Source organism: Homo sapiens, chromosome 7, assembly GCF_000001405.40.
Source record: "Homo sapiens chromosome 7, GRCh38.p14 Primary Assembly".
In the NCBI taxonomy this organism is placed as follows: domain Eukaryota; kingdom Metazoa; phylum Chordata; class Mammalia; order Primates; family Hominidae; genus Homo; species Homo sapiens.
This window is the reverse complement of record NC_000007.14, coordinates 107617057-107635916: the sequence shown is the minus strand read 5'-3', so window position 1 is coordinate 107635916 and position 18860 is coordinate 107617057. Positions and strand designations below refer to the sequence as shown.

The window sequence follows — 18860 nt, the reverse complement described above, 5'->3', positions numbered from 1 at the left end:
AATAAAAACCAGCCCTGGCAACACAGTGAGACATTGTCTCTACTGCTTAAAGAAAAAGGTAAAAAAAAAAAAAAAAAAGAATGAAGGTGTGTGGTAAACCACTATTACTTTTTATTTGCTAGACATTTTTTGGGGTGAGGGGTTGTTCTTTTGAGTTTTGTCTTGTTTTTTTGTTTGTTTTTTCATCTTGCATTACTTGCTTTCTTTTCTGAGACCAGTAATATCTATCACTATTCAACCCCAATTCTCCAGCTTATCCCTACGTCTTTCAGTATGTTGATTCACATCAGGTATCTGATAAACTTCATGTTCTAGAAAAAAACCCCACCCAAAGTTGTCTGAGCTGTTTCACAGCTAACAGTCTCCCTTTACCAACATCCTGTAGACCTCTGCCTCTCTCTGTGTAGATCTCCTTTCTCAAATATTTTCCCATCCTTTTGGTGGAGTACATCCTCTATCCACTAGCTTCCCAAGAAAAGGGTATGTGGGAGGTAAAGCTTTTGAGAACTTGCAAGCCTGAAGTATGATTCTTCACTCATACTTGATTTGCAACTTGACTGGCCCATAGAATACTAGGTTGGAGATAATTTTGAAAGCATTGTGTATTAGTCTGTTCTCACATTGCTCATAAAGACATAACCTGAGACTGGATAATTTACAAAGAAAAAAAGGTTTAATGGACTCACAGTTCCACATGGCTGGGGAGGCCTCACAATCATGGCAGAAGGCGAAAAGCATGTATTACATGACAGCTGGCAAGAGAGAATGAGAGCCACATGAAAGGGGAAACGCCTTATAAAACCATCAGATCTCGTGAGACTTATTCACTACCATGAGAACAGTATGGGGGGGAGAGCCCCCATGATTCTATTATCTCCCATCAGGTTCCTCCCACAACACGTGGGAATTATGGGAGCTACAATTCAACATTAGATTTGGGTGGGGACACAGCCAAACCATATCACATTGTTTTACTGTCTTCTATCTTCCAGAGTTCCTTTTGGGAAATCTGAACTTGTTCAGATGCCTCACCTCAACCTTTGCGTGTTGTGTTTTCTGGAAATGTGTAGAATTTTCTCTTTGTGCGTTATTCATCAGTATGGGTTTTATGCTATGGTTTGAATATGTCCCCTCCCCTCCAACATTCAGGTGTTGAAACTTAATGGCCAAGGTGATGGTGTTAAGAGATGGGGCCCTTAAGAGATGCTTAGGTGATGAGGGCTCCTCCCCTTGTGAATGGGATTAGATGCACTGAAAAAGGGGCTTGATGGAGGAAGTCTGTCCTTTTTTGCAGCCCTCACCAGATACCAAACCTGCCAGTGCCTTGATCTTGGATGCCTCAGCCTCTAGTACTAAGAGAAAATAAATTTCTGTTCTTTATAAATTACCCAGTCTCAGGAATGTTGTTATAGCAGCACAAACAAAATAAGACAGTTTATTTTTGGGCATTGGGCTGAGGATTTAGTGAGACCTATTTTTTCCTGAGGGCTCTTTTTTACTTTCTGATTTTTTTTTTTCCATTTTTATTATGAGACAAGGTCTTGCTCTGTTGCCTGGGATGTAGTATAGTGGTGTGATCTTGGCTCACTGTGGTCTCGACCTTCTGGGCTCAAGTGCCTCAGCCTCCTGGGTAGCTGGGACCACAGGCATGTGCCACTACATCTTGCTAATTTATTATTGTTCTTTTTTTTGTAGAGATGGGGGCTCACTCTGTTGCCCAGGCTGGTCTCAAACTCATGGACTCAGATGATCCTCCTGCCTCAGTCTCCCAAAATTCTGGGATTATAGGTGTGAGCAACCTGAAATTTTTTTTTTATACTTTTCAATTCTGATTTCATGAGTGCATTGTAATAAAAATTCATGACGTTTCTGAAGACATTGAGAGTTTTGTTGTTCTTCCCGCACGCTTTCTGTTTTCACTATATATTTTTTTTTCCTGTTCAGGTGTTTCTCGAATCTCTCATGCTTGATTACCTGCTCATATTTAAAAGTGGAGGCTTCAAGAGCTGCCTGGAAACTGAGTAAGTAGGTGAGGCTTGATCATGGTGAGATTTCCTGTAGGGTGAGCTGCCTGGGCCTTTGGTTGGGGAAGCCCTGATGTCAACATCCATGTGAGTGTATTTGGATCTTTCTTCTTGGGTCTGATAGATTCCCACCTACAAAAGACTTATTTGGTGTTCTGCCTGGAAGTAAATAACTGCTGCCGTCATTCTGAGATGAGGAGGAAGTTTTGCATTTAGTAGGCATACATCATTTACTTAACCCTCCTGTTTTTTGTTTGTTAAAACACACCCTCTGTTTTACCCTCTTCAAAGAGGAAGACTGTCTTCTGCTGGGGTGAGGGAAGGAAATCACCCAGCATTTGGAGGAAGAGAGGGGCATCTAGGGATATAACTGCTTCTCCAACAGCTTTCAACCAACCTTCTTTCATCTTTCACAGCCCTGCCCCTCTTTTCTAGGAGTAGTTGTGCCTTCAATGCCTGAGCCTTGATTATTTGGTGGTTTAAATTGACTTGGTTCTTGGAACCAAGGAGGAAAAAGAGTTCAATTTTTCATCAGTTTTACCAAGTCCATACCACCTGTTATCTGTTTTGTAGCTTTCAAAAAGTTGGTGCTATTTCTTCTCATGTTCACTGTATCCTTATAGGTTTATGCTTAAGAAACAAAAACAAAAACAAAACAAAACAAAACAAAAAACCCTTTACCATACCATAGTTTCAGTGCAGTTTAGGAGAGAGTGAAAGTGTGTGTTCAATTAGCCATCTTTTTGCAATTCTGCTTTTTTTATGGTATATTTTATAGTGTTTAGAGATTTTTTTGCAGCTGCCTTCTTTTGGAAAAACCAAAGGCAGCAGACTCTGGGCATGCTGAACTGGGGCTACTTGCTCCATTTCAATTCTTAAATTTAGAACTATGCCTCTGCTTCCCTCACAGACAGTCCAATTAAAAATAAAAACTCTCCAAATCAAGAATCAAGAACAGTTATGGGACTCTGATTGCAGAAAGCATTTTCAAAAGCATTTAGCATTCAAATAACTTACCCACTGAGATAGACAGAACAATGGTCTCCCAAGGATGTTCACATTCTAATCCCCAGAATCTGTAGGTCAAATTACATGTCAAAGGGGAATCAAAGTAGCAGATGGAATTAAGGTAGCTAATCAGCTGACTTTAAAATAGGGAGATTATCCTGGGTCATCTGCTTGGCCTAATGTAGTCACAAGGATCCTTAATTGTGGACGAGGGAGACAGAAGAGTTATTGTCAAAGTTATATGATGTCAGAAAGACTTGACCATCTCTTCCTGGCTTTAAAGATGGAAGGAGAACATGAGCCAAAGAATGCGGTTAGCCTCTAGACACTGGAGCAGGAAAGGACACAGATTCTCCCCTAGAAGCTCCTGAAGGGAACCAGCTCTGCTAACAGCTTTTTTTGGGGCGGAGGGGGGATCAATTTTTATTTGGGCTCCTCACAGTGGTTATAGTCACTCTTCCGAACAATCTCAGCACAGGAAATGCATCACCAAGACTGCCTAGAAAAGTCTGACCAGTAGCACCTTACTGCTTAAAATACACATATTCACAATAACTGACAAAGGATAATGTGCCTCACACAGGAATGTGTTCGCATTTGCAAATCTCTCAACTGGCTGTAGCATCAAACCCTCCACTAACCCCTTCCATCTCATTCAGCTGGAAAACCAGTCTCAATCACATCTCCCGGCCCCGGAACCAATTCCTTATTAAATCTCTCCCTGAGCGGGGTAGCCTCCTGTAGCGGGGGCCAGACTGCGACTTGAGAATCAAGGCCAGCTCCACAGGTTGCATTTCCATCTTCTTGTGCCTTTAGGGTAGGACACTGCAATGAATCACACAGTTAGCACTCCACCACTTCCCCACTCTAACTGGGGAAAGGAACTTGAGAGAGTCAGAATTCATCCATTTGATCTGTTCACTGAAAAAGGATTCATTTTGGTAGAACTTGTTTGCCTTTGAGACACTTCAGTGAGTTATTTGGGATTCTTTAAAAAGGTGGAAGGAAAGGCGTCTGAGGGCTATGACACAATCCAGCCACCTTTGGCCACATGCCAGCTTGCTTGTGCCCACTGGACTCGGCAGAGGGAGGCAGGCCCTGCAGTACCCCCAGTGCCCTCAAAGCCTCCTCCTGGCAATTCTGGGCAGGGCCGAGGTCTGGGCCACAGCTAGTCCAAGACTGTCTTTGAAGACTCAATCAAGCTTCTGTCTGAAATTCCACCTTCTTCTGTCCCAGGTGGTTGTGGACACCCCTAGGGGCTGGTACAGAGGACCAGGCACAGCCGAGGGAGGCAGACAGGCTCAGAGCACATTTCCATTTACAGGGAACAGAACACAGGCTCCCATGTGTCCCCGGAGCAGTGTGCAAGTTGCAGTGGTGAGTAGAGTAAAACCTCTATGTTGAGCACAGTTATCTCTGGCAAACACAGGGGCCTGCAGTCAGTCCACAATGCTGTGAAATACACCTGAGTACATAGTCAGACATTTGCCCCATAAACAGTAAATGCGTAACATCAGTTACTTAGAGAGGGCCGTTTGTGCTCCAGACATGTGGTTTGCCTGAGGAGAATGGCTGTCACTCAAAGTATCTTCCTAGGGAAACAGGGCTCGGGGTCACACACAATGGACAGGCACGCAGGGTTCACCCAAAAAGTTACAGTGTACGGACTTCACTCTGTTCAACATGGATTTTGGTTTTGTGGAATCCAAATGCACTAATTTACCTCACAGCCTTGGATTTGTCTGTTTGGGGACATGTATTTTTTCTATATATATATATTCTTACCACAACGTCAATGCCTTGTCTGAATATCATCATTGTTCAAGGGTAGGGGAAATCAGACTCTTCATGTGAACAGGGCTGCACGAGGAATGTTCATTTCAGCTGTTTGCCGCCTCCATTCAGATTATTCCTATCACAGCTCAGCTGGTGACCCGAAGCTAAGCAACAGGCACAAGGATCCTGCGGGTCTTCCAGATGGCTGTGTTCACCTCCTATCTGAGAGACTCTTTACACAAAAAATGAGTTGCCCCACTCAAAAGGAGTGGGGACAGGGGCAGGGACAGAACATGAAAACCACAGATAACCAAGGTGTTTCTTCGAAGAGGTCAGTTTAAAACAGACAACGACCAGCCATCCATCCCCGCAAAAAAACCAAAAGACAAACCACAAAAAAAAATTTATTCAGAATCAAAGACAAAATACTGTGTGAGAGCCAGGCTGGAGGGGCCCTTTCTCAGGGTCCATCCCTTCCTCAGTCTCCTATCTCTTTCCTCCTATGTGTGAAGAACAGTGAGACATAAAGACCCGCGGAGCATGTGCTCGGGATGGAGGCTGACGCCGGCCACCTGTGGGCACAGACCAAGGGGCAGAGATGCAGAAAGCTGCACATCTATCCACCACCATGGCTTAGGGCCACCTGCTCACGGAGATTTCAGAGACAGCCTCCACTTTAGCCTTCACACAAGACATCTCCTTCTGGCTCAACTGCAGCCAGGCTCTTTGAAGGCCAACTTGGGAAAGAACTACAAACGTCATTTTTCAGAAGAGAATTCTTGCCTGCTCACTGGGGAAGTTATTTTCAGTTGTCTTTTGTTGTCTGTTTTCAAAAGGAAAATAAAAAAAAGAAAAGGCAGTATAATCTTTCACACTGGAACCAGCCTGCAGCCAGCCAGAGGCCACTGGGAAAGGGCCTCTTAGTGATGCACACTGGATGCATCCATCACCTGGAATTTCACAGATCACAAGCCCCCTACCAACCTATCATACAACTGCCGATCAGCTCTCATCCTCCCACAGGATTAGCTCAATGCTGGCTCTGCAGACACTGGGAGCCACAGGCGACAAAGCCTAGGCCTCTGCAGGCTTCCTTCTTCACCCAGGTCTAAGATGGGTTGCCTCTCCGGGACTGAGACACAGTGACGTTCTCTTAAACTAAACTCAGAGCACAAATCCACTTCGTCACCAAGAATCATCTCAGGGCACAGTCCCAGCCTCCTTCCTTGGGGGCCTTTAAAACACATCTCTCTGACCCAAACAGGTAGGTGAGATAGGACTTTAAAGGGAGAATAAAGGGGATAGGGATGGGGTATGAGGAACGAGAAACAGAACCAACTTCTCAGCCCTCCACAACATTGTGCCTTTGTAGGGCGAGAGGCATCCACACCCCAAACTGTACCTGGAGATGGAGGAAAATGCAGGAGAGGAGAAAGAAAAAAAAAAAAAGGAATCAAGTGGCTGTACCACTTTCTCTGAAAGTCATTTAATGCTTCTCTCGTGGTTCTCCCCTACCCTGGTTGCTTTGCCAAGTTCTTGGGTGCTGGCAGAGCCTGATCTAGCTGCGGGAGCTGCTGCTCTGGGAGTTGGGAGAGTACTGCTCATTGATGATGTTTAGCAGCAGGCATGCAGGTAGCTGTGGCAGGTGCAGGTGCCCAGGCTGTCAAGCCTGCTCCTTGGAGGGCTGGAAGAGGCCTTCCTCCTCATCACCAGGAGGCTGCACATGGCAGCTGTCGCAGAAGTCCAGGGGCCCATCCAGTGCATCAGCGATGAGCATGTTGAACTCTTTAAGGCTATGATCATGGTGGCCCTGACATACGCACTTCAATGCCCGCGTCACCAGTGAAGTGGCAATGTCTCCTGAGCATCTTCTCTTTGCTGTTGGGCGGTGCGCTGCCATGTTCAGAACTGTCATCTTTCAGCAGCTCCTCCTTACATTCTGCCTCCTTGTCCAGGAAGGCCCCTGGGTCCAGCTCTCCCAGGCTGGCTACAGAGCCACTGGGCTGCATCCCCAGGGCTTTGGTGGCTACTCGGTCACCTGGTAGGTCAGAGGGCTCAGGATCAGCGATGCTTGGGGGTCTTGTGATGCTTCTGCTGGGCTCAGACAAGGGATTCCCTTGGATCCCCTGGTGGGATTGGCGCTGGGGGACTGCCATCTGCCAGGCCTCACTGTGGAGGCAGGAGCTGCTGCTGCTGCGTAGCTGGAAGTCACTGTATGCTGGGGGAGGAGTTGGAGGCTGGCTCACCACTTCCTCATAAGGAGGTAGTTAAGTAGTTTAGCAAAAACCTGAAATAAAAAGGCAGCACTGAGTGATTGAAGGCTTCTTGGCAGGGGATCAGGTTGATTTCATGTTGCCGATGCTGGGCCTGAAGGCGGTGCTTGGCTTGGCGGTGGTGGCCAATGTAGCAGCAGCTAAGGATGATGATGATGGTCCACACCAGCCAGAGCTACCAGAGTTCCTAGCAGTAGTTGCAGCACTGAGACTGTCCACAGCAGTGTCCTGTGTCACAGATGTAGCTTTGATTATTGGTATGCACTCAGGCTTCCTTATCCTGTGGGGGTTCAGCCCTCACTGACAGGGGGCTGGGCAGCGCCGGGAGGAGCAGGAGCACTGTGCCACCTAGGAACCTTCTCCTCTCCATCCCCCTCCTGCTCCTGTCCCTCTGCCACAGCACTGCCACCTCCCTCCTCCCTCTCCTCCTCTACCCTCTTCTTCCTTGTTCCTGCTTTTTTCTGCCGACAATTTGACTTTAGCACAGTAAGACTAATTTTGGACTTCTGACTGCTAGAATTGTAAGATAATAAATTTGTGTTGTTTCGAGTCATTAAGTTTGTGGTAATATGTGAAAGCACCAATAGGAAATGAATACACTCACTATAAATTAAAGAAAAAGTATGATTCATATTACCTTAAAATCTGAGAACCCAGAAGCAAATCCACGCACCTACAGTGAATTCATTTTCTACAAACGTTCCAAGAACATACATTGGAGAACGGGCAGTCTCTTCAATAAATGGTGCTGGGAGAACTGGGTACCATATGCAGAAGAATGAAACTAGTTCCCTATCTCTTGCCATATACAAAAATGAAATAAAAATGGCTTAAATACTTAAATCTAAGGCTTCAAACTATGTAACTACTACAAGAAAAAATTGGAGAAATTCTCCAGGACATTGGACTGGGCAAAGATTTCTTGAGTAATACCCCAAAAGCATAGGCTACCAAAGCAAAAATGGACAAATGAGATTACGTCAAGTTAAAAAGCTTCTGCACAGCAAAAGAAACAATCAGTAAGTGAAGAGACAACCCACAGAATGGGAGAAAGTATTTGCAAACTATCCACCTGACAAGTGATTAATAGTATATATAAGGTGTCCAAACAACTCTATAGGAAAAAAATCTAATAATCCAATTATAATATAGGAAAAAGATTTGAATTGACATGTCTCAAAAGAAGACATACAAATGGCAAACAGGCGTATGAAAAGGTGTTCAACATCACTGATCATAAAAGAAATGCAAATCAAAGCTACAATGAGATATCATCTCAACCCAATTAAAATGACTCATATCCAAAAGACAGGCAATAACTCTGGAGAGGGTGTAGAGAAAAGCAAACCCTTTGGACACTGTTGGAGGGAATGCAAATTAGTACAACCACTATGGAGAACAGTTTAGAGGTTCCTCAAAAAACTAAAAATAGAGCTACCATATGATCCAGCAATCATACTGCTGGGTATATAACCCCCCAAAAGGGAAATCAGTGTATCAAAGAGATATCTACACTCCCATGTTTGTTGCAGCACTGTTCACAATAGCCAAGATTTGGAAGCAACCTAAGTGTCCGTTGGAAGATGAATGGATAAAGAAAATGTGGTACATATACATAATGGAGTACTACGTAGCCATAAAAAAGAATTAGATCCTGCCATTTGCAACAACATGGATGAAACTGGAGGTCATTATGTTAAGTGAAAATAAGCCAGGCACAGAAAAACAAACGTTACATGTTCTCGCTTATTTGTGAGATGTAAAAACCAAAACAAGCACATAAGGAAAGAGAGTAGAAGGATGGTTACTAGAGGCTGGGAAGGGTAGTAGGGGTTGGTAGAGGGGAGGTGGAGAAGATTAATGAGTACAAAAAAATAGGGATAATGAATAGAACCTAGTATTTGATAGCACAACAAGGTGACTATAGTAAAAATAATTTAATTGTATATTCTAAAATAACTAAGAGTATAATTGAATTATTTGTACAAAGGATAAATGCTTGAGGGAATGGATATCCTATTTTACATGGTATGATTATTACACATTGTATGCCTGTTTCAAAACATCACATGTATCCCCATAAATATCTATACCCACTATGTACCCACAAAAAATTAAAAACTAAAAAAAAAAAAATTAAAAAAAACTCCAAAAAATTTTTGAGGTTTTCAACAGATTGATTATATTAACTCTGCCCTCCCATTCCTTATCTAGAGGAAGATTTATATGGAAATAATGATAGTGAAGCTTCAGGGCTTTTGGTACACAGGTATCAAGAATACTGGAGTTGTAGAGTGTCCTAGGTAGAAAGGAGAAGCTAGGTTGCAGCTGGGAAGCATCCCTGATGAATTGTCCCAAGAGATCTTAGGAGAAAGGTATCTGAATCTCCAAACCTCCAGTTATTTGTTGCGATTTCTGTTCCTATTCTGAATAAATTCATACCTAATTTTGTTTTGGTAATTTTGTATTGTTTTCCTTATAGAGAACTCCCCAAGTTGTATCTGCTCTAGGCCCCAAATATTGAGATCCACTCTGCCCTTGCCTTTTTCTTTTTTAATTATTTATTTTTTTTATTGAGATGGGGGTCTCACCCCTTTACCCAGGCTGGAGTGCAGTGGTGCAATCATGGCTCACTGCAGCCTCTGCCTCCCAAGCTCAAGCAATCCTCCCACCTCAGCCTCCTAAGTAGCTGGGACTACAGGCATGCACCACCGCATCTGGCTAATTTTTGGTGGAAATGGGGCTTCACCATGTTGCCCAGGCTGGTTTCGAACTCCTGAGCTTAAGTGATCCACCTGCCTTGGCCTCCCAAAGTGCTGGGATTACAGGCATGAGCCACTGCGCCTAGCTGCATTTTTCTTTTTTAAATAGACATAGGCCAGGCCTGGTGGCTCACACTGTAACTCCAGCACTTTGGGAGGCTGAGGTGGGAGGATCACTTGAGCCCAGGAGTTCGAGGCTAGCCTGGGCAACAAAGTGAGAACCCCCCCATCTCTACAAAAAATGAGAAAATTTAAAGAGGCTTGGTGTCGCATGCCTGTAGTCTCAGCTACTCAGGAGGCTGATGTGGGAGGATCACTTGAGCCTGGGAGGCCAAGACTGCAATGAGCTGTGATCGTACCACTGCATTCCAGTCTAGGCAACAGAACGAGACCCCATTTCAAAAAAAAAAAAAAAAAAGATGTAAAAACATCATAATATATGTGCATATATACATATATATGTAATTATTTTAATCATTGAGAAAGGAAAAAAAAGTTGCAGTTAAGGTTCAAGTGACTAACAAAACACCTCAGACCCAGGCCCTTTCATAATATCAAATCTGCCAATGGGATTTGAAGTGAAATACATCCATGTCTGGATGTATTTTAAGAATGTTGGTCAAAATTGCATCTGATCCTATCATAATCTTAAGACAACAGGACACACTCTGAAGATGGGGAATGGGAAGAGTCACCTGAAAAGAATCTGACACACTAGAATTGAACTGAATTCAATCCAGATAAGCAAACATTAGTTGCATACCTGAGCAAATGGGGCTCTGTGCTTTCTCTGAGGTGGAAGAAGAGGGGTGGCAGGGGAATGACTGATCACAGTTAAGAACAGGCATCCTCAGGCCAGGCACGGTGGCTCACGCCTGTAATCCCAGCACCTTGGGAGGCCAAGGCGGGTGGGTCACCTGAGGTCAGGAGTTCAAGACCAGCCTGGCCAACATAGCAAAACTTGGTGTCTACCAAAAATACAAAAATTAGCCAGGCGTGGTGGCGGGTGCCTGTAATCCCAGCTACTTGGGAGGCTGAGGCAGAAGAATCACTTGAACCTGGGAGATGGAGGTTGCAGTGAGCTGAGATCGTGCCATTGTACTCCAGCCTGGGCAGCAAGAGCAAAACTCTGTCTCAAAAAAAAAAAAAAAAAAAAAGGCATCCTTAACTATCTACCAGTTTCAACACTGTGCATTTTCATTCCAGAAAACTAGGGGGTCCACCTTTTGTTTCCCAATGTTTTCAATGATGTAAAATGCACTTACAAGTGGTTAATATGGTTAATACTACAATATGAATGTAGTTAATACCATCTAACTATACACTTAAAAGTGGTTAATACTAGTAGTTAATACCAAAGAGGTTGTACTAACCAACCACTTTTAAATGTATCGTTCAGTGGTATTAACTACATTCATATTGTTGTGTAACCATCACCACCATCCATCTCCAGTACACTTTTTATTTTTAAGACATTTTAAAATTCCATTAGATTATTGTTTTTAGATGGGGAAATTTATGACTGGGCATCAGTCTTTGTATAATGTTCAGAATAGTTTACCATGAGAAACTGTTAAACGTTCTTAACATGTATCAACTCGTTTAGTCTCATCAGCAAGACTTTAGAGTCTAAATCACCTTAAAGATGAAGAAACTGAGATGCTGAATGGGTAATAAATAAAGCAGATGAGATTTGGACACAGGTAATCTACGCATGTAACCACTATGTTCTACTGATTCCAGAGCATTTTCTGCCAATAAAGATTCTCATGAAATGTCACCAACAGGGGATAAGGTAAATACCTTGTCATAGGACGATGGGTCTCATCCACCTTTTTTGCTCTCACATACTGGATGGTTATGGCAGTCTCATTACTAACACTGTTACCTGGGGCAGGAATTCTCACCGGTGGTAGTGGTAAACAGGGCATATGAGTCCCTGTGCTTTAAACAAACCGAACCCCCCAGGTGATGTGTATATGACCTATGAGAAGTTGTTTGTAGAATTCTGTTGCAGAAGAATATTGATGTAGGGGGAACAAAAGCAGGTCACAAAACAGTATGCATAAAAATAGGTGTGATCTTATTTTTGTAAATATTTGTGTGTATATATATATATATATATAAAAATTAGACAAACAGCTATTTTTTCTTTCATTTCTACATTTACTATGTATCAATTTTGTTTCAAGAGGAAAAAAAACCAACAAACTTAAAAAGAGAAAGTTTCAGCAAGTAAACCTCTATGGAGGATTATTCCAGGAAGCCCTTGGCTGAGAAGTGGTGCTGTAAGGGTCTTTTGTGCTCCGGGAAATTGACAGCCCTTGGGAGAGACCAAAATTCTTTACCATGGGTGGTGCTTCAGGGAGAACAACAATTTCTGAAGGAAAGACTTCAGAGAAGCCTGGCTAACCAGGAAGACACCTAGTTTAGGGGGCAAAGCCAACACTTCAAACACATTCTTCGCTCAAATTTAGGAAAGGAGTTGATCGCCAAGAAAAAGTTGGAAACTTCTTCCTAACTTGTTTACACACCTTGTTTACACATCAAGCTCTTATGTGCTATCTTTGTATATATAATGTGCCTGAATGTTCTTGAGGTGTTTGTTCTTGTTGTGGTGTACACCATACTAAAGACAAAGAGGCAGAAGAGATTTGTAAACTTTTATAATGTGAAATGCACAGCTATTGTGGGGGTGCGATGCATGATGCTGATTAATAATGGTTAAGTCGAATATAAAAAGTTGAGCATGCAGAGACAGTAGAGGATGTAATTTTTAATTAAGATCCCAACATAAAAGGCAAAGATACAAAGGTTTTGTGCTGCATAGGACAAACATATTTATGGCTTTTTATTATGTCTAGGATGTTGAGACAATGCATTGTAGTTAGCTGGTGTCATTCACAGCAATTCAGGACAGGTGTGGTGCTTATGGCGTCAGGGACACAGCTCCTTGTTGCTCCACTTTGCATGGCCTCGACCTCATGATCTAAGATAGCAGCATATGTTTCAAGCAGCAGGACAGAGGAAGAAAAAAAAGAAACTGGCCCCACATGACAGTCCTATTTCCACTTACATACAAGGAGATGGAAAATGTTATCTTTATGCTTGACAGCTGTTTATAAAAAAAAATACAAAACTGGAGCATGTATTAACACAGGTGAATGAAAGAATGGATACTGGGGTACAACCAGTACCCTCTGCCACAAGCATCTACTGCAGGATGTCTCCACCTTGGCAACACTGACATTCTGAGTGAGAGATCATTCTTTGTTCCAGTCCTGTGCATTGTGGAATGGGTTTAACAGCCTCCCTGACTTCTATCCACTAGGAGCATTCCCCTGGTTATGACAACCAGAAATGTCTCTAGGTATTGCTAAATGTTCCCCTCAGGATGACCTCTTCACTTCCTGTTGAGAACTACTGATTTACTGTGTGCAGGAACTGTGTTAATCACTGAGGAGACAAACCATAAATGAGATCATTTCAGATGGTAGTAAGTGCTATGATGAAAATAAAATAGGGTAAGAAGGCAGACAGGCCTGGGATGCAACATGTACTACACATGCAAACGTACTGACAGGGGAAAGAATTTGGCTTGTTCCAAGAAGAATCAGAATGCAGGTATGCCAGGATCTATATCCTAGGGAAAGAACAACAAAAAGAAACAGGTGTGATTGGCAGAGCAGGTGGACTGAGTTGAGGCTGAAAAGTAGATGGGAGCCTGGTGAGGTCTTGGTGGTTTGATCTTAACTGCAGTTGGAAAGAATTGGAAGACAAGCAGGGAATGACAGTTGGAAAGAACGGGAAGACAAGCAGGGAATGACATGATTAGTGTTTTTTTTGTTTTTGTTTTAAACCAGGTGGCTGCTGAGAGCATGTATATGAGAGAAGCATTAGAGAAGATACAGGGAGATGAGGAGGTCGTCATAGTCCATGTGAGAGATGATGATGGCTTGCAGTTAGGCAGAGGCAATGGCAACGACAATGGCAAAATACAGTTGAAGGAGAAAAGTAACTAAGATAGGAGATGGCTAAGGCTATCTTTGACTTATCCAAATGGCTAATGGGGAAGACGGAGTGGTGTTAAAGAGTAACTGTTTTCCACACCCCTTGAAATTCAGTTCAGGCCATTACAGATCTGTCCTGCATGCTCCTGTATTAATTTACTATGGCAGCAGTAACAAATAATCACAAACTTGATAGCTTGAAACAATAAATTTATTCCCATAGTTCTGGAGGCCAGGAAGTCCAATATCAGTTTTATCGGTATCTGTAGGGCCATGCTCCTGCTGGAAGAGGCTCTGGGGAAGAATCTGTTCTTTGCCTCCTCCAGCTTCTGGTGGCTGTCAGCATTCCTTTGCTGCGGCTCCATCACTCCAATCTCTGCCTCTGTGGTCACTGTGCTTTCTCCTCTTCTGTGTGGTAATATCTCCCTTTGCTTCTATATAAGCATAGATGTAGCTGCATTTAGGGCACTCCCAGATTACCCAGAATAATCTCTCCATCTCAAGACTTTAACTTAATCATATCTTTTGCTATAGAAGAGAACATTTCCAGGTTCCAGGGATTGGTATAGGGATATCTTTTGGGAAGTCATAATTAAGCCTACCACAGTTCCTAAAGTGTTTGAAATCATTTCTGGTGCAAGTAATAAAGTTGTGTTTGTGTAGAGATCAAACTGGAAAGAAACACCGTGAAAGTAATTTTAAAAATGCCGTTCAGCAAAGAAATGTTAGAAAAAGAATTTCATAAGTGGATTTCCAAGATTACTAAGAAAGGGATGAAAAAACACAGGAGGGTTCCATGGACTCTAGACGGATCATCCCAGACATTAAAGTCAATGCTTAAAAGCACGGTTATATTCACACATTGTATAGTGGGCACTCAAATGCACAATAGTTTGTCATGTTAGCAGGGCTGGGGATAAGCTGGTGGTGGCGCACAGATGGGAGGGATAGCGAGAAGGCAGTGGACACTGGAATGGGAATGCAGAACTGAACCAGCCCACAGAGGTAGGGCAAGGCAACAGGTTCGGGTACATCCAAGTAGCTGTGGCTAGCAGGCCCAATGAGGAAGCAGGAGTGACACTGCAGGAAAGCAGAGACCACTAACAACTCCCAGAATGGGTAATATTTAGAGATCCAGGCAGGCTGCTGGCATCAGGCTAATATCTCAGAGAGTAGTTAAACTTTAGGCTCTTGATTGGGGTTCCAGGGCAGGACTCTGTCACTGAAAGGGAATCCTAGTTCTCAGCATACTAGGAAAAATAGCCAAGAGAGGAACTTATGCCCTAAAGAACAAGGCATGAATCTAATTAGCAGCACTGGGGTCCAAGATAGAGCTGGACAAACAACAAGGATAACTCATCCCAAATTCTGGAGTGCTTATCCAGAACTTGCTAAGTGCTACTTCCTAAAGACCAGAACCTCCAGGCAGATTTGCAAGTAGGGGGAAAGTCTAATAAAACTTTAGGTAATTCTGATGGAAAAAGGCAAGAATAACATTCCTGTGTTTGAATTTATAATACAGCCTAAGACATAAAGAAGTCATTATTGACAATGGGAAGGAAAGTAATTTAATATGCAACATAACTCAATCCATGAAATAAATATTTATTTATGTAATACAATTTGCTAAACACCACCATTATTAAGGAGAGTACTAGGAAAAACTACCAAACACAGCATGTGAAACAGTTGGGCACGGTGGTAAAGGGCACAGACTCTGGAGCCACAGCCGGCTAATACACTGCAATATTTTATGTTTAGCAAATTATAGCTGGTCTGTGTATAACCAGAAGAGCGGTATCTGGGGGATCAGGATATCTAAATTCTAGACTTACAGCCTGGCCCTGAATCTAACTATCAATGTTGCCTTGGAAAAACTGCTCAAACTTTTGATGTCTAAAGTTTCAGACTTGTAAACTTGAGAGGGTTGAGGTCCAAGGTCCCTTAAATGTAAACTTTAAAATGCTTTTTTGGGAATCTTTCAAATCTTCAAGCTCTTCAAAGTGCAACCAGACTTTCTCCTTACTATACAGTCTGAACAACTTTGAGAATCACTGTATTATCTTAGTTTATATAGTAATCCTGACCTAAATTTTATTATTCTCATTTTGGAGACAAGGAAATAGAGGCCTAGGCTAGCATGGCTAAATAAGTGATAAAGCTGGGAATAGATTTTAACTCTGCCCATTTTAAAGCTGTGCATTTTCTATTTTTCTGTAAGTTATTCTGACATTAGACTTAATTTTCACATAGTAGGCTAGGATTCCAAGCACTCAATATCTATATATTTATCCAGATAGCTCTTACTTTGATATTTCTAAGTCTATACTTTGAGCTAACATTTGCTCTGTTCTCTCCTATTTCAGCACTCCCTTTTCTTGTTATTTATGGTGTTGTCAGCCCATATGGTCTAACTCTCATTTCATACTCCTGTTGAATGTCTCCTACATGTCTGTTTTTTAGCAGTAACTCCTGACTTTTATCTGAAATAAAATTTTTAGGTACTTGCTCATTTCATCCACTTTATGATGAAAAAAATTAGCTAGGTGTGAAGTTGGTGCTAAAATTATAATAAACAGAGGATGTAACAAAGACAAGAGAAATAAAAACTCCAGTATTTTCCTTTTTTTTATATTTAGGTTTTCATGAGACAAGGAAGATGATTTCATGTCTAAACACTGGAACAAATGAAATCATATTAATATTATAATCACTGCCATCTTCTAAAGGAAATTCTAAATGAATATTTGAATGGAAAAATAGTACTTAATATTTAGCTTTCAGAATACAGAAACATTGTAGAAAGACTGTGTGATACCAGTGTATGTATTTTTGAGGTAATATTTATATAATTAGTTACTCTCACAACCAAGGGAAAGAAATACTGCTTTTTGGACACTTTCTAGAAATACTGCTTTTTGGATATTTTCTACGTTAACTTTTCAAGAATTCTACACTGTTGTAAAATAAATTCAGTTCAGTGGTATAGCAGTTATACAAATATATGTAAGCTCTATTACTAGATTAACTTGAAACAGTAGAGTGGTTACTAATTATGTGTTATTAATAAAAATATTAACAAAAAGACCAAAATGTGCAAGGGCACAGTAACAAAAATATAATTATCAATATAGCTATCTTATTAGAGTAAACCATAGTATCATCAGGCTTAAAAAAAACTAAGGTCATTGTTTTTTCCGACTCTTCCTTATAAATACAGTGGATAACTCTGATCAGTTATCCTTATTTACATTCCCTGTGTACAAATTTGCTGATATTGAACACTATTTTCAAACACATCATCATCTGATTAAATAGGTTATTATTACTGAAAACTTATCAAAGCTTTCAAGGCTATTAATGGTTTCATGCAACTTAAAACTTCTAATTTTGGAAGCAACCGGTTAATGAATTTTTTCCTTTTATTGGTAAACAGCCACCATATACCAATGACATTATCAATATGTAAATATGGTATTTAACATGCTTATATTTTTCTTAAGAGCTGGAATACAGACTTTGCAATATATCTGAAACATCATCAAATATTTTGATAATGCCATTACAATACAACCTATGTGTGGCATTAAAAAAATTACGAACCGGTCATAGTGCATTTTTCTGAACTTAAATTTTCTAGAGGCTAACATAACAAAATTATCATTTTGACACAGTATATTGCAAGTGTCTTTTATAAAGTTCACAGTCTTTTCTTGTTGCCTCTTTCTAAACGATCCTGTAAGGAAAAAAATATGATTTATGTAGTACAGCAAAGAGAAACAGATTCATAGACATGACAAGGACTTTTAAAAAACATTCTCTCTTCTATGTATACTTATGAGAATAATTAAATGTGAAAAAAAGGATTGAGAAAGTCTAAAATTTAAAAAACTATAAAATTTGTGGTTTTTACTTAGGAAAAAGAACACTCTTGGTAAGTTCATTTTTCCCCTTGCCTTAATCTATTTTGCTTTTGTTTCACAGGTTACATTAGGAAAACATGATTTCTAAAATTCCCCTACTGTTAACCCAATTAAGGTTTTTGGTAAATGAAAGAAGGAAGGGACAAAAACCTCAGCTAGGGTGGCTTTGGTTTTGTCCTTCAGATATTTGCCAACAGAACTGACTTCTCAAATTATACTTGGCTGATCATGTTATAAAGATTACTATATTACATCATTTAAAACTGAAGGAAAATGGAAAAGAAATTAATCTTAAGAGATCACTTGTGCTAAGAAAGTAAATGTCTACATCATGAAAAATATCTCATAAAATGGGGTTGCAGAGTGTTATTGCTTGTATAAAGAAGTTCGTCAAGCTCTTGTTCAGGCTGAACATTAATGCTTCCATAGCAACTTTAATAACATTAACTTTTGCAATCAAATAAAAAGACAAGAGTAGAGGAGGTAAATTACTTCCACAAGTTTACATATGTGGCCCCCTTTTGATAAAAAACAAAGCTTTAATGAAGCTATTATGGACAAGTCCCTTAAGTGATGGCTGATTTTCCAAAATGAAATTTAAAAACTGGCAGGTGCTGATGGGTTTGTGCAGCCAATAATCTCTAGTTAGTTCTGTTTTTCTTTTTTTTTAGAAGAGAGGCAGGGCAAATAAGGAAAGGACTACATGTTTTGAAGGGACTGTTTTCTAATATTTATTTAGTGCCTATAACAGGGAGGGGACCAGATGGGGAAATCCAAAAGGATTTAAAAGATGCAAATTGGGATCTATTTACAGTAAAGAAATCAGCGTTTCCCTCTTTAACCTTTGTTTCCTTAATATTTTAATGATCTTTCGTTTTATGATTGTTCCAATGAAAATATGTCAACTGTGTAAAATTCAGGAAGCTAGTTCCAAAGAACCTTAGCATATAATTCAATATCTAAGATTAGTTTGACAACAGAAGTAAATTCATGAGGACAATTTGATAGAGCTTTTTACCATAGAGGATCTGTAACTATCTTTTGCTTCTCAAGCAGGGCTCAGACGAACATTAAAGCACAAGAG

The 18860-nt window shown here is 41.1% G+C and overlaps 2 protein-coding genes and 1 pseudogene across 30 annotated transcripts in view; all 3 read right to left on the bottom strand.

Annotated features, from left to right (window-relative positions):
- WBP1LP2 (WBP1L pseudogene 2) lies at positions 6086-7545 on the bottom strand (annotated as a pseudogene).
- The window catches only part of DUS4L-BCAP29 (DUS4L-BCAP29 readthrough), a 59347-nt gene continuing 53086 nt past the window's right edge, over positions 12600-18860 (bottom strand). For all 7 annotated transcript variants that reach the window (NR_163940.2, NR_163939.2, NR_163941.2 and 4 more), the window contains one exon: positions 12600-17589. Coding sequence is in view for 4 of the 7 variants with exons in the window: in NM_001371364.2 (NP_001358293.1) it covers positions 17312-17589 (278 nt within the window). In the remaining 3 variants the exon portion in view is untranslated. The remainder of the gene's footprint in view (positions 17590-18860) is intronic.
- Positions 12600-18860, bottom strand: part of BCAP29 (B cell receptor associated protein 29) — a 43311-nt gene continuing 37050 nt past the window's right edge. For 18 of the 23 annotated variants that reach the window (NR_163935.1, NR_163934.1, NR_163929.1 and 15 more), the window contains one exon: positions 15439-17589. Coding sequence is in view for 9 of the 23 variants with exons in the window: in NM_001008405.4 (NP_001008405.1) it covers positions 17312-17589 (278 nt within the window). In the remaining 14 variants the exon portion in view is untranslated. Of the gene's footprint in view, positions 14288-15438; positions 17590-18860 lie in introns of those variants that run through there. The other 5 variants (NR_163926.1, NR_163927.1, NM_001371355.1 and 2 more) reach the window with 2 other exon arrangements.